This window comes from Homo sapiens, chromosome 17 (assembly GCF_000001405.40).
Source record: "Homo sapiens chromosome 17, GRCh38.p14 Primary Assembly".
NCBI classification, from domain to species: Eukaryota; Metazoa; Chordata; class Mammalia; order Primates; family Hominidae; genus Homo; species Homo sapiens.
In genome coordinates this window covers 55197366-55213685 of record NC_000017.11, presented here as the reverse complement: position 1 = coordinate 55213685, position 16320 = coordinate 55197366, and the positions used below count along the sequence as shown (strand labels likewise).

The following is a 16320-nucleotide window of genomic DNA, read 5'->3' as shown; positions in this document are numbered from 1 at the left end:
GCCACTCTCTGGGCTCTGAGATGTTTTAAGGGCACTTTCTCTTGAAATGCTTTGTGGGTACTTTGCAGAACCCCTAACACTAAGGAGATTCTCTGGTTTTCTCACTTCCAGTTTCCTTACCTGGAGGATGTACACCTGGACTTCTCACACTTTTTTTTTTTTTTTTTGAGACAGAGTCTCACTCTGTCACCCAGGCTGGAGTGCAGTGGTCTGATCACGGCTCACTGCAGTCTCCAACTCCCTGGGCTCAAGTGATCCTCCTGCCTCAGCCTCCCAAGTAGCTGGAACTACAAACATGTGACACCACGCCCAGCTAATTTTTAAAATTATTAGTTTGTAGAGACGGGGTTTTGCTGTGTTGCCCAGGCTGGTCTTGACCTGCTGGCCTCAAGCAATTCTCCTGTCTGGGCTTCCCAAGGTGCTGGGATTACAGGCATGAGCCACACACCTGACCTGTTCAAGTCTTCTTGTGCTGCCAGATAGCCCTACTGGTTCTTACCTGGTCCCAGGAAAAACAGATTTCTTAGATCTGCTGTCGATGGGGGGCAGTTTCTTCCCAACCACCGCATCTACTCTCTGCTGGAGGCTGCTGTGGCTTCTGTCCTGTAGATGCCTCAGGCATGAATCAGATTCTACACCACGGTGTCCCCAGCTCAGGACACACACAACCAGTTTTCTGAGTGGCCCCAGTGGAGCTACTTTCACTTGACTTGAGAAGCAAGCATCCTACACTCTTCCTTAGGGTTCATGCGTGTCCTCCGTGTGTTGGTGGGGTGGTGGTAGAGGGGATAGATGAGATGAAGCACGCACACTGCTCTCTCTTCTAAAAAGTCTCTAATTTGCAAACTCTCCCCACCTCTCCAGTTTTAATCCTGATAGATGCTCAAGAGGATAACAGGATAAGCATCATAAAAATGATTCTCAGCTGTCTCCTTTGATAATCCTAGAAGGTGAAGTATCTCTCACTTTGGAATAAAGCATGGACACCTATGGACTTAGGTTTTCAGCCATTTTAACAAACAGTGAGAAGATGTAATAAAATATATTTTTAACAGCTAGCAAATACCTAGGAATAAGTAAACATGTATGGTATTAATGATAGAAGTGTACTGAGATACACAAAAGAGAATGCGAATAAATTGAGACATTCCATATTTCCAGATAAGATGACTAAATATTATAAATACAATAATTACGATAATAACCATATATTGAACACTAAACATGTATCTGCCACTATGCTAGGCATTTTTAATTTTTAGCGCTTATAATCTATAACCTAAGAATTATTATCCTCATATTTCTGGAAGGAATATAGATGGATTCATTCAATAATTTATTCATTCTTAACAGATAAGTATTTATTGAGTGCCCATTTGTGTCACGCTGGAAAGAGACTATGAATGATGACACCATGACCCTATAGTCCAGGGAAGAAAACTGAAGCTAGGGAGGATCAAGTAATTTGCCCAGGGTCACATAACATGAAAATAGCAGACAGTAGATTTGAACTCTTACTTTAGAAACTTATGTTCCCAAGTGCTAAGTATAGAAACAGCATTCCCCGGCAGGGCGCGGTGGCTCATGCCGGTAATCCCAGCACTTTGGGAGGCTGAGGCGGGTGGATCATTTGAGGTCAGGAGTTCGAGACCAGCCTGACAGACATGATGAATCCCGGTCTCTACTAAAAAAAAAAAAAATACAAAAATTAGCTGGGCATGGTGGCATGTGCCCGTAATCCCAGCTACTCAGAAAGCAGAGGCAGGAGAATGGCTTGAACCCAGGAGGCGGAGGTTGCAGCGAGCCAAGATCGCACCACTGCACCACTCCAGCCTGGCAACAGAGCAAGACTCCGTCAAAAAAAAAAAAAAAAAAAAAAAAAAAAACAACAAAAAACAGGAAACAGCATTCCCCAAACTAATTTGTAGGTTCAGCATGATTTCAGTAGGACATTAAATCAGTGGGGAAGCTTGTCAAATGGATTCTGAATTTCATCTGAAAGGACAAACATGAGGATATAGTTAAGAAAATATAGAAAAAAATTAAAACAAATGTGAAGCATCGGATATCAAAATAAATTACCCAACTACCTTAACTTTTAGGTAAGCTGCAAAAAACAATAGGGAAATAAGTGGAACAGAATGGAAAGCTGTAGAATCATAAATAATGTGTGATGAAAGAAAATTTACAAATAACAGGAAAGAGAATATTCAAAAACTAGTACTGAAGTAATTGCATATTTGAAAAATTCAAGTGAGAGTCTTACTTTACACTTCCCAGGAGATAAATTTCATGCAGTTAAGCTGTAATCCTAGCTCCTCGGGAAGCTGAGGCAGGAGTATCACTTGAACCCGGGAGGTGGAGGTTGCAGTGAGCCCATATCTCGCCACTGCACTCCAGCCTGGGCGACAGAGCGAGACTCCATCTAAAAATAAACAAATAAATAAATAATAATAAAAAAATTTGCAGTGGACACACATAAATCAGCATGATTGAAATGAATGATGCTCAAGGCTGGTGCGGGTGGAGTGAGATCTCAGCCTACCTCCCCTCTAGTGGGAGCCATACAGTGACAAATTTCATGGGGGGGGGCATTTCACGATAAAAGTCCTAAAAGTTTTAAAATGAGCACCTCTTTGAACATGAAAACTCCATTTCTAAGAGTTTAAAGACATAGCTGGTCTCAAGTTTATATTTAAACAACGGCTACTTCTCAGACGTACTTAAAATGGTGATTAATTAGACATAATCTTTACAAACAACGAAAGGGAACTCTTAATGATGATTTATGCCTGACTATGGTGGGATATTATATAGCCATTTAAAGAAATATTGTTTTCAAATAATAGTCAGTGGCAGAAGCAATGATAACAATATAAGATCATATGAAAAAGAGCAGGGCCCATATTTATGCATAAGGCAAGATACCAGTTTTACAACACATGTGTGTTCTTGGGTTTGTGTGTATATATCTTTATTTAAAAATATTAGAAGGAAATACACATAGTATACACAATATCTGTGTATATTTTAAGTGGGGAAAGATCTACCTGTCAAGAATCAGTTTCATCTTTCTAATTTTATGATTTTATACTCTAATGAAAACATTTTAAATTGGCACACTGAGTAAAACCATCCTCTTATTTGTGGCATTTGTTATTTCTCTTTTGAACTTTATCAAGAGAAGTAATACAGGCCTCTCAGATGGCAACCTGCCAACATCACAGAGCAGGATTTTAATGAATTCCCTCCTTCTGAGGCCTAATTTAAGCCCAATTTAAAGTAAACAAAACAAACATATTACTCCATAAAGGGGAATGAGCGCTCCTTTGTTGTGCAGACTTTGAATTTGAATCTCTTTAGAAAAAGAAAAATAGAGCAAAAAATGAGCTTAATAAGCTAGACTTCTCTTCTGCTCAGGCTTTTCTCATTAGGGTTTAATAACATAAAATGCCATTAAAAATTTAGATTTATAATATGGTGTATCTGTGAATTAGTTTTCTTCTCCCTGCATGTTGGGAACAAGTGAATATTCCAGATGCAGGGGGTCCTGCTTGGGAGATAATCTGTGGTACATCAGTGGGCTCGGTCCTTTCCATTCTCCTTCTTTCTCTCCCACTAAAGATATATGCACACGCAGACATGAACATGCCTGCATGCACACATGCACATGTGTGTGCACACGCATGAACATGCTCACATAGACGCATCCTTACCCTAACTTGTGTTGTAAACACAAGTTGCAATGTTAGTATAACCAGGGATGCCCAACCTTGCACACTCAGCCTGCCTCTTGGTGAAGCTCCAGATTCCACAGAATGAAGAGCCTGATTCCAAGAGGAAAATCCCCTCGGAAGAGGGAAGTAAATGGTGGGATGCAGAGCCATGTTCTCAGAAAGCCGAAGCTATCTTTCAGCCCATGATGTGACCTGGGAGACAACAATGACATGAAGTCCCCTGTTGTCCACAGCATCAGCATCAGATATGAAACAGCATTGACTAGTTGAGCACGTGTCCTCAGCTGCTCGCCCTTATCCAGAACAGGTGGACTGTACTTTAAAGACAATGGCCATGGTAAGGGAGGCATGTGTCTGCTACATTTTGTTTCTTTGAATTTCCACCTTATTCTGTAAAGTGGCTATTTTCATCTCAGATGGACAGATGAGGAAAGTGAGGCACAACTTGCCCAAGTAGTGTGTCTAGGGCTTGACTCTGACTCCCCAGCTCTGGCCCTTCCTTCATGCCCAGCTCCTCCCAGCTGAGGGGACAGGTTTGGATGCGCCTCAGCTGGGCCTGCGTATGAACTGGCATCTCTGCTGCCTCTGACCTGGTTCTAGCACAATCCTCAACAGAGAAGACCTACTCTTCTCCCAGCTCGTTTCCTTCCCCAGATGAATTGTTAGAAAGAACTTTGTTCATAGGGCATTTTCTCTTGGATGCCTCACTGGGTCTCCTAACACAGTCACTATCTGTCCGTCAAAAGTGGAAAATAAACAGTTATTTTTTTTTAATCTTCAGACTCCTCTTTCAGCCTTCTCTTCCAGATTACTTTCCATCCCACCTCTTTTATAATGTAAGACTTAAATTTTTAAAAAAAATTTTTTGAGATGGAGTCTTGCTCTGTTGCACAGGCTGGAGAGCAGTGGCATGATCTTGGCTCACTGTGGCCTCCACCTCCCAGGTTCAGGTGATTCTCCTGCCTCAGCCTCCTGAGTAACTGGGATTACAGGTGCCCACCACTATGCCCGGCTATTTTTTTTTTTTTCTGTAGAGACAGAGTTTTACCATGTTGGCCAGGCTGGTCTTGAACTCCTGACTTCAAGTGACTCACTCGCCTTGGCATCCCAAAGTGCTGGAATTACAGGCGTAAGTCACCGTGCCTAGCCTTAAAATGTCTAACTTATAACTGAAACTTGTTTACACAAATATACCATCTCCCTGCAGGTCTGTTTTATTTTCAAGATTCTTGCCTTTAATTGTGGAAGAATAAGCTTTATTCACTACTCAAAGATTTGCAGGATCATAAAACAACATGGTTGTATTCTTACTCCTCTCCTTTCCCTCCCTCCCTCTCTCTTTCCTTCCTTCCTTCCTTCCTTCCTTCCTTCTTCCCTCCCTCCCTTCCTTCCTTGCTTCCTTCCTTCCTTCCTTCCACCAACAGGGTGACCTTTGTGCAACTCCTTTGTGCATAACAGTACTGATTTTTCACGTTGTACCTATGTAACTATGAATAGCACCCACTTTCACTATCAGAAGTGTCCTGATTTGAATGATAAATTATATGATCTCCCAACCCATCCAACAAGCATTTATGGAACATCTTATAAACACCTACACAGCACACCGTACTGGGTGCAACAGGTGCACAAAAGCAGTTCACAGTCTGTAGTCAAGTCAACAACACTGTTTCTCTGCCTGTCACTTGGGCACTGCTATGAAGTGCTATGAAAGATTAAATTGCCATGGATTTCTGGAGGCAGACTTCCTTGTTTTTTAAGCCAAGCCCAGATTAGAACTTGGACTAAATTGACCAAAGAATTTCAGTTTCCTCATCTGTGAAAAGGCTGTAATTATGAAGCTGTGGAGAGGATTAAAACACATTATGTTAATAAGGCATCTAGTATAGCCTGGTACTTTGAGACTTAAGACTGCCAGCATTTATCAATATTTTATTATTATTACTACCATTACTATTTTATTCTTTTCTTAATTACAAAAGAATTGCATGGTTATTATAAGCAAATTCAATAATACAGAAATAGAGTGAAAAGTAAAAGTTACCATTCACACTGGCCTGCAATTCTACTGCAGAGATCACCGGCGTTAACACTTTGTGGGTATCCTAGATCTTGTTCCGCTCAACAAACTACATGTGTTTGCACACGTGCGCACGTGCGTGCATGAGAGTGTGTGTGGCATAAACGGGACAGAGTGCTAAATGGGATATTTCCTATTGTTTCAGATTTGCAGTCAACGCATTAAATTTGAAAACAATTGGTGATAAGGGTCCCCGTATTCTAAAGAGAAGCACAAAATACACCCCATAGGATTTTCTAAAACAAAGCAAATGGAGACCAGTGACATAAATACTAACAGCCTAGTAAAAGTAGACTAGAAATCAATTTGAAATAAGAGTATTTGAAGGGAATTTGTAGGAGTAGAGAGGTCGTTAGCTTTTCTCTCCTCCTCTGTTTCAGGCCCAGTTAGGGGGCTCCCTATGTGAATAGCTCATTCCTGTGTGGGAGGAAATGGGCACTCTATTCCTTGGCCGAATACCTGCTGAGCTGGGGTATTGGAAGCTCATCCTGGTCAGGGCACTGAGGTGGACTGAGACTGGAGGGTTATATGGGGGAGCCTCGAGTGTGTCTGTGGGAGTTGGGGTGTACATGCCTGTAGTGACAGGTGACTATTTTCCTGTAGGTGAAGACTGAAGGCAGGAGTCTGGCTAGGGCTGCCCGGGATGGCACATCCTGGGGAGAGTCAGCAGTTTGACAAGTTGTATATGGTGGAAAAAGAATGTGTGAGCGTCATGCGTAGAGATCCACTGGACTTTAGACATCTTGACAGAAATCTGCTCCAAAGAGTGGCCTGTTAGGGTGGAGGGACCCCAGAAGTATGAGCTTGTAGGGTGAACCACTGTGAGAAGTTGCAGGAGGGTAAGTGGAGAGTGGCTCCCTCAGTAATGTTGAAGGTTCCCATAAAGGTTTCCATGAAGGAGCCAGAATTTAGATGCCTGTCATGACAGATGGGATTATCACAGCCAGCACTGGCTGAGTAAGACATTTTGTCCTTTTCCTTTGACACCTCCTTTTTTTTTTTTTTTTTTTTCTGAGACGGAGTTTCCTCTGTTGCCTAGGCTGGAGTGCAGTGGCATGATCTTGGCTCACTGCAACCTCCCCCTTCCGGGTTCAAGAACTTCTCCTGCCTCAGCCTCTTGAGTAGCTGGGACTACAGTCACCCACCACCACACCTGGCTAAATTTTGTATTTTTAGTAGAGATGGGGTTTCACCATATTGGCCAGGCTGGTCTTGAACTCCTGACCTCAGGTGATCCACCCGCCTCAGTCTCTCAAAGTGCTGGGATTACAGGCATGAGCCACCGTACTCAGCTGACACCTCCTTTTTCAGGACTTGACCCTGTTGGAGTCATCAACAACGGTAGGAGGAAAGAAAGGAAGAGTGTAAGAGAAGACATTCTCTCTACCCCGCTAGGATTAGGATTAATCCTAGAAACTAGGATTAGGCCTGTGCTGGCAAGAGAGGAGAAGTTTTCAATTGGATGTGAAGTTGAAGTTTTCATTTTACTGGCTGGATTTCTTAATAGCTGCAAGTGATCAGAAAAGAAGCTTTGGGATTTGCCTGATATAGCAGCATATGAATGGGGTTGGGGGGCATGTAAACAATCACCCCACAGCCATTTTCTGTTGGTTACTGGGTTCAGCTCTCTCAACAAGCCCCTTGCACACACATACACAGACACATACACAATATATATATGTAATAATTCACAATAGTACATAGACACCTACACACATAATGTATATGGAATAATTCACAGAGGTTTTTCAAAGACATCATACTATAAAATTTTTATAATTTGCTTTTCTCACTAATCAATATAGAGTTTATGATAATAAGTATAGACCTGCCTTATGCATTTTAATAAGTATATAATATACTATTTAATATATTCACGAATATTTAATTAACCATTCTTTTACTTAGGGACATTTAGGTAATTTCCAATTTTATACTGCTAGAAATAATGCTTCAGTATATGTCTTTTACCCAAGTGCCAATATTTTTGTAGGAGGAAACTCCTAGAAGTGAAATGATATGAATGTTTTAAAGTTTGATAAATATTGTAAAGTAGCTTTCCATAAGATTTGTACCAGTTTGTCTTCCCACCAAGAGTATATGAGATCCTATATTTTCACAGCCTTGCCAAAAATATATATAAATATTTGTCAATCTAAAATATTAGAAAACTCTTATTTTGTTTCTCAGATTTTTTTAATACAATGAGGTTGAACATTTTTCAATGGGTTTATTGGCTATTTCTAGTACCTTTTATGTAAATTGTCTCTTCACCTGTCCCACTTTGTGTATATGTGTGTGTGTGTTTGTGTGTGTGTGTGTGTGCATTTGTCTGCTGTTTATGTCTTTCCCAGTTTGTTGTTTATATGTTTACCTTTTAACACTGCTTATGGTATCTTTTGCCCTATACAAGTTTTATATAATGTAGACAAATCTGTCATTTGTTTTTACTTTGTGTGCTAACCTACGAAAGGCTTTTCTACTTCAACATTATGATTGTTTGAATCTTTAGATCTTTAATTCATCTGACATTCATTTTATATGATGGCAAATGCTTCCTTTTATATAATATTTAAAAAGTACTATAATAAATATATAATATAACCAACATCTCTTGATACCTTTCTCTGTTATATAGATCTATTTCTCTATTCTTGTCTCACTGTCATGTGGTTTTATTACTAAAACTTTATAATATAAAGACAAATTCTCCTGAATTAAACAAAAATTTCCTTGGCTATTCTCTTGCATTTACTCTTCCAGATAAAGTTTAAGATTTATCCAGTCAAACTCCAACATAGTGGAATTTCACTTCTGGCCATGGCAAGCTAATTTGTTTAGACAAACTTACCTGCTAAGAACTACTAAAAAGGGTGGACAACATATATATAATATAAAATAGTATGTTTGGTAGTTATTCAATAGTTCTTGAAGGTATTGGAGAACTGCCAAGACAGTAAGAAATATAGATGTATATGTGTATGTAGCTCTAGATTGATACCTTTTTGAAGGGGTATGTGTGTTTGTGTGTGTGTGTGTGTGTGTGTGTGTGTGTTTAATCTTGAAGGCATTGAAGAGATACCAATGCAGCCAGTACTTGAGCAAGCAGAAACCCAGAGAAAAGTAGGTTCATATAGTTGAGCCCAACTGGTGTCATTTGGTGCCTGAAAAACTAATTAGAGTTTTCTTTTTTATTCATATAGGAGAGACATTGCTAAAAATTGAGATCAGGGCCCACCAAGGGGGACTAAGGAGGGATTAAGGTGAGTAAGTGATCTACTTTTATTGTGACTGTTGTCTCAAGCAAAAGTAAATTCTTCCTGAGAAAGATAATATCTTTTATAGCTCTGATTATCTGTGTAATTTTTTACACACAATATTTAGAGTTCAATTTTTAAAACCTGGCAGGCAAAAAAGGTAAGAATTAATCAAAAAGCACATAAAAAAGCAGATCACAGAAATAGCCTCACAAGTAATCTATATGTTAGAGTTTATCAGGAATAAACTTTAAACTGAGTATAATTAATACATTCAAGAAATTGGATGACAAAATGGAGAATTTAAGCAGAGAACTGGAGACTATGAAAAAGAATAAAAAAAACTGTAGAACTAAACAATATAGTAACTGAAATTAAGAACTAAATAGTTTAACACCAAATTAACCACAGCTAAAGAGACAATTAGTGAACTGGAAGATAGGTCAGAAAAAAATACCAAGAATAATACAGCAAGAGAATAGCATTAAAAATAGAAGGACAGGGGAACATGATGAAAAGGTCATATATACAGCTGAAGTCCAAAAAAAAGAAATAAAAAATAAAATAGAACAGAAGAATGTCTAAAGAGATATTGGATGAGATTTTCCAAAAATGACCCCAAAAATCAAATCACATTTTCAAGAAGTGCTATAAACTCCAATAATGAGTAACAAAGAAGAATATCTCTGTACAGAACACACTAAAACTAATAATTACCAAAGATAAAGAGAAAAATCTTAAAACCAGTGAAATGAAGTAAGAAAAAAAAGATCACCTTCAAAGGCACAAGAAAGACTGATGGCCAACTTCTTAACAGAAATAATGGAAGCCAGAAGATAATGAAATAATGACACTAAAATCTTGAAACATATAGCATTCCTTTCTTGAACACCTTTGGTCAGTTTGTGAAATAATCAGTTCTATTAGAGGATGTGTATGATTGGTAGAAATTTTCCTCTTATATTGTGCTAAAATGTATCTGCTTATAATTTTCACTGGGTCTAGTTTTACTCATGTTAATTTCAGAGAATTTAGAATTTCAGGACTTTTGGAGCTAAATTTTCCTCCACTTGTTTGTGTAGGATAATTTTCAATAACTTCTGAAGTTTGAGAAACAATTTTCAAACTCACCTTAGATCCCCTACCATCCACCCATTCTACAAACAATGAGCATCTATTATGTAGCTGTCGTTTTTTTAAAATGACATCAATGCAATGATAACTATGACTTGCTTACTCTCCATGAGGAGCTCTTCATAAAGAGGGTGGAAAAGACAATAGACAGTTATTGCAATGCGCTGTGATAACTTCAATTATAGGTGTAAACATAAGATTCTATTCGAGTATAGGGCAGGAACATCTACCTCAGCACAGGGGAAGAGGACCTAGTTCCTAAAGGAACAAAAACCTGATAGGATTAGGAGTTAGCTATATTTTCCTTTTTGGAGGGAAAAGCAAAACAGGTGTTCTAGAAATAGAGACCCATATGTGCAAAAGCATAAAGAAGTGAAAGAGCATGCCATCTGGTCTTTCTGCCTTTTTCTCAACTACAGCAGATGAGCTCCTTCCTGCAGCCAGGAAATACAACTTCCAGCAGCTCTAGAAAAATATTGCTCCAGTTTAGCAAACTTAGTGGAAAAATGAAGCTTTTTCCTATAGTCCAATGATCGTTTTCTGGAGACATGAATGCTGAATGACCTTTCTTGGCTCTTATGCCCATCCTCCAGACTACTTAAAGTGTTAAAGGAATGTAGTAAAAAGATTGAACAACCTTGAAGCATGTACCCAGCTTTTGGGGAAGAACAAGAAATGATTAGAGAAAGATCAATAATTTCCATCACCAATGGAATCACATAAAGTCAGGGAAGGTAGGATCTCAAGGGATAAGATGCTGGTCAGAAATAAACCACGCCTATTAAACAATGCCTATTAAATCCTTTCAAGACTATCTTCAAACCCATTCTCAAGAGCTTTTCTGTGTTCACATAGAAAGAGCATAGAATTGGCAGTCCGAATTCCTGGCCAGTTTTATTCCTCTTACTACCTGTGTTGCCCTGAGCAAGACACCCTTTAAACCAAAACTTCTGTGTTTATAATAATATGTGCAGTGTCATACTGGTTAGGTTTTCACAAAATTAAATGACATCATTTAATTAAATGTCATTTAATTAAATGTCATTTAATTTTGTGAAATTAATACCTGTGGTATTAATAATAAACTAATACCTGTGGTAACAGGTCCTACCTGTTTAGTCCTACTCAATACCTGTTTATATTTCCTTTGATTTTATCTTGGACTCTCAAGCATGTAAGGGATCAGACCTGGGGGTGAGAAACATATATATATGAATCAGGTGTTCAAGATTGAGAGACCATAAGAGCAGACTGTGGAAAGGCTGAGTTGGTAGAGGAGGAGTAGAAATTTGAGTAATGGTGAACAAGAGGATATGAGTGTGGGGCATAAGGTGCCCTAGCTTGTGAATTGACTCTGGCACTATGTGTGTGTGTGTGTGTGTCCCATATCTACATGTCTTGACTATATTGAACAAATTAAAGGTAAATTATTGTACTGATATAAATGATACTAAAGAATAAAGGACAAGAGAAAAGGAGAAACATTCAATTCCACCATGTAAATGTAATTTCATCTTTGTGAATTGTTTACTGTTTATGCTAATCACCCTGCAACATAATAAGCACTCTTAACATTATGAAGTATGTTTCAGATTAAATTTGCTGCAAGCTGCATTTGGTGACAAAAGTTAACTGTGTTCATGCATGCTCAGCCTTGCTGGGTTCTTGCTCGTGGAGCATAGTTCTCTGCTCAAACATTTAAATGTGAAAGAAAAACTGCTGATGAAGCAAATACAGAGAGAGCAGATCTCCTAGTGAGACTTACCTTGGTCGTCCCTGTCTTTGCTGTGAACATTTCCTTTGCTACGACCTTAGCAGTAACGTCTTGATTGGACTTCTTTCCTGGAATGTATTCAAATTTCCTAGGCATGCTGAGAAGAGAATTGGAAGCTGATGGGAATGAGAAATGCTGTAATTACTAGGTATCTTAATATTGAAAAAGAAATTTGATCTTTAAATTTATTTTTATTAATAACACAAGACACTGGCATCTTGGAACGTAGCTCTTCTCTTTTTGCTTCCCATCCCTCCCTTTCCCTCCTTTCCTCTCCTTCCCTCCCCTCCTCTCCCCTGCTTTCCTCTCCTCTCCTTCCTTCCTTTTCCTTTCTTAATTTTAATCTTCATTGTTTGAATAAAACATAATACTCACAATAACAAAATAATTTTGAAATGGATATTTATTATTTAAATAAAAACAGTACAATCATTATATAAAAATACCAAAGCTTAGCTGACTTTAACATTGCACTTGCGATTATCATTTTAAATACCAGTGTGACTGTGGAGGGGAAGGCTGTTTCTGCAGCCACAGCTTACCCGCTGCCATGGAAACATCTGGGCTGCAGAGTTAACAGTGGAGCTTGTCAAAAAAATCAACTTTGGCATGGGGAAATGACAGTGAATGGAACATAATTTTGACCATGGGGAAATGTCCATTAAGCAAAGCATGTGTAAAACTGTCTCCAGACAGAGAGAGAGACAAAAAAATATGGATGAGTCTCCTCTCTGTAACCATCCTTAATAAGATGGATAGCAATGGACTCCCAATTGGGTTAGAGAGAGAGAAAGGCCTGTTTACTTCACCTCTTCCATTGTCTTTGTTTATGGTTTATTTTTTGTTTCTAACATATGCACTATGTTTGTTAATTGTTAAAAATATACACTGAAAATAGATTTTCTCCAGCAAGTTAATTTAGCTGTACATTCAATCAAATTGGAAATCAAAGTATATTTCTCCTTCAGGGTAGATTCCTCTGAAAATCATCTCCAGACTTTGGCAAAGAGTAGCGTGACTGCAAGACAGGGAGAAGAATGAGGCAGGGAGGAGGGTAGGGTGAGGAAAGACCAGTGAATTAGATACCTGTGGGCCTGGGTTTGAGTCCTACTTCTGCCCCTTATTAATTTGTGATCTTGAGCAACAAAGAAGATACAGAAACTCTGAATTTACTTTTTTCTCCTATAACACAGGAAACAAAAAGGGGTAAAAGTGCTATGAAGTACTTGCTTTGTGAGTGAGAATGTGCTACAGATTATGGCAGTTATTATTCTGGGATTTAATTCCCCTTGAAAGTTTCCACTTCCTTTTTATAGACAAAAAGTCTTATCTAGGGAGGACCTCCTAAGATAGTTTCATTAGCTGTGACTGAGAAGAGAATGATGTCTGTTCCATTACAAAGCATGGTATGGCCACATTGTGAATTAATATAGCTTTCATTAAGTCACTCTTAGAGATATCTGATATTTATTGAGATGCGATTAAGTAAAAAGCACTGTGCTAAGCAGTGGAAATACTCTGATGAACAAAGGTAACTTAAGCTCTACCTTTCTTCAGATTTCCTCTTACTAGAAGACAAAGACCAAAAAAATCCATGCAAATAAAAATATAAATAACAAACTGTGGTCAGTGCAACAAAGGAACTTTAAAGAAGGGAATTTAAAAAGGCTTTACAACAGGAGGGAAGGTGGGGCTAGATAGATATGACCGAGGAAGGACTATCAAAAGAAATGAAGCTCTAAGGAATGGGGATAGGGGAAGTATTCAGGGCATGCGCCAAGGCCCTGGGGTGGAGAAGAAGTTGGCTGGGAGAACTGAAATGGGGCCAGTCTGTATGAGCTAAAGGAGAGAAGCACAAGGTAAGAATGGGGGACAGCTAGAGCTTAGATCATGCCGGGCCTTGGTAATTTATTCTATGTGAAATGGAAAACCATTGAGTAGGCTTTAAGCACTCGAGGAACAAAAATTTCATCTTGGGTTATTCTACTGTGAGTCTTCTTGCATTAGAATTCTAGTTATTTTGCTGAGTACCTTAACATACTTGAACATATAAGTATAAAATAAATTCTGATTATTACCACTCAGGGAAATCTGAAGATTAGGATGAATTCACTTTCCTGTCACGTTAGAAGTTTAAATTGAAAACAGGAGATGGTTTTATTAGCAGAAGGTCACTCCATCTTCCATTTGTAGTGGATGGCAAATACGATGGCGATGGTCTTTCAGAATCGAGAAACAGGAAAGAACAGACCAAGGCTTCTCATCAGGAAAGCATGCATATAATGAACCAAAATTCTTTGAACTTAACTGCATCTAGGGGAAAAACACATTGTTGGAGGACTTTGATCACTTCCTATAATTTTTTTTCTAAAACATTCAAGAATTCACAGAGTACTGTTTTCAGCAAGAATATGAATAAAACTCTGTTCTGTTGTGCTTTCTGTTTTAAAATTTTTGTTCTGGGCAGAATCCTGTCACTGAGCAAAAAATGCTAATTGGACATTTGATTCATCTGGACAGCTGTGAATGTAATTTTTGCTAACCAGCAGCAGATGTAGACCTAAAACAGCATGGCAAATAGCCATTGGCATGGATGTGATGTTAGCTGCATATGCCATGCTCTGATCTATCAGCATCTCAAAGTCTTTTTTTTCTTGAAAGATTTTTTATTAAATATTTCTGTAAATTAATCTTAGTAATTGTAAATGGCCAACCCAATCCATTGGCATAGAAAGACTGTGTCAGAGCCTTTATAGTACTCCAAAGAGTGAATTGGTGGAGTTGGATGGGAAATACTTGCTTTCCAGTTGAAAACACAGAGCAGATGCTGGCATTATTAACAGAACATTGCCTACTTGCAGTTCATGTCTTGGATGGAGTCGTATGCCACAATGGTTTCTGAGTAATACTCTTTAGTTTGTTTAGGAGTAAATGTCTTTGGAAGTGAACCATTTCAAAGCAAGAATTCTGTACGTTGAGAAAAGGGTGCTGATATTTCTCAGATAAGTTTGGTGAATTGGTGAATCGATTTTATATCAGATCTGCTTCATTTAAAGTCGTTATATTTAATGAGGAGTGAATCCCAAAAATTACTCATGGGGAATTTACGATAAACAAAAAATCATGGGTTCTATCTCCAGAGAAATCTTGATTTCAGACTTCTATCTTGATGATTTTTATGTGCACCCCTAGTTGAGAATCTCTCATCAAAATAAAACTTTTTTTTTAAAGTTTAAGATCTCTATCATTAGTTCAATGTGGCATACAGAAGCAGCCACAGCCCACTCATGCATCCTGTATTTCCCACTGAAGCAGGAGGATAGGGTCTGGAGGCAGAGAACCTGAGGCCAATTTACGCTGACTTCTTAGAAGTAAATCAAAAGGAAAACCCCAACTTTCCACACCTAAGTAACAAAAGGACCAGAGGCTACTCCCCTTGCAAACCTGTCCCCCATTTCTGTGTGGCAGATGGAAAATTAAGAGTATCTCTGACTGGTTGCATAAAGCAACCAATCAGATGTTTGCATAGGAGTGTAACTTTGTAACTTCACTTCAGCCTCTGATTGTGGGCCACCACTTCATTTGCATGGGGTGTATGCCAAGTGGCCAATGAGAAACCTCTAGAGGGTATTTGGACCCCAGAAGATTCTGTAAACCAGGCCCTTGAGCCGCTACTCGGGCTGCTCCCACCCTGTGGAATGTACTTTCATTTTCAATAAATCTCTGCTTTCCTTCCTTGCTTTGCTGTGCGTTTTGTCCAATTCTTTGTTTAAAACTCCAAGAACCCAGAAAACTTGCAGTCAAGACCCTCCCTGCCCCGGTAACACCATGCTGAGGGAAGAGTTGGGAAGAAATCCAACATTTGGTGTTTCCAAATTCAGCTAGCCTGTGCTCTTCCCAACAATGCTTTGTTCTGTCTCAGCCTGAATTTCTTTTTTCTTTTTTCTTCTTTTTTTTTTTTGAGACTGAGTCTCACTCTGTCACCCAGGCTAGAGTGCAGTGGTGCAATCTCGGCTCACTGCAACCTCCGCCTCCCCAGTTCACGGCATTCTCCTGCCTCAGCCTCCCGAGTAGCTGGGACTACAGGTGCATGCCACCACGCCTGGCTGATTTTTTTGATTTTTAGTAGAAACAGGATTTCACCGTGTTGGCCAGGATGGCCTTGTTCTACTGACCTCGTTATCTGCCCGCCTTGGCCTCCCAAAGTGCTGGGATTACAGGCGTGAGCCACAGCGCCTGGCCACTCAGCCTGAATTTCTAAAAGAAATCAGGAATTTCCACTGTACGTTGTCTAGTGAAAGCCATAGGCTTGGTGGCTTGGTTCCCAATGTGGGGAAA

General features: G+C 39.1%; 1 protein-coding gene across 1 annotated transcript in view; it reads right to left on the bottom strand.

The window, feature by feature from the left end:
* Window positions 1–412: 412 nt before the first annotated feature.
* Window positions 413–16320, bottom strand: part of STXBP4 (syntaxin binding protein 4) — a 244509-nt gene continuing 228601 nt past the window's right edge. Inside the window, exons 19-23 of the transcript XR_007065289.1 lie at window positions 14061–14295; window positions 13069–13164; window positions 11974–12098; window positions 2267–2425; window positions 413–1066 (exon numbers count right to left, since the gene is read on the bottom strand). The gene's annotated coding sequence lies outside the window, so the exon portion shown is untranslated. The remainder of the gene's footprint in view (window positions 1067–2266; window positions 2426–11973; window positions 12099–13068; window positions 13165–14060; window positions 14296–16320) is intronic.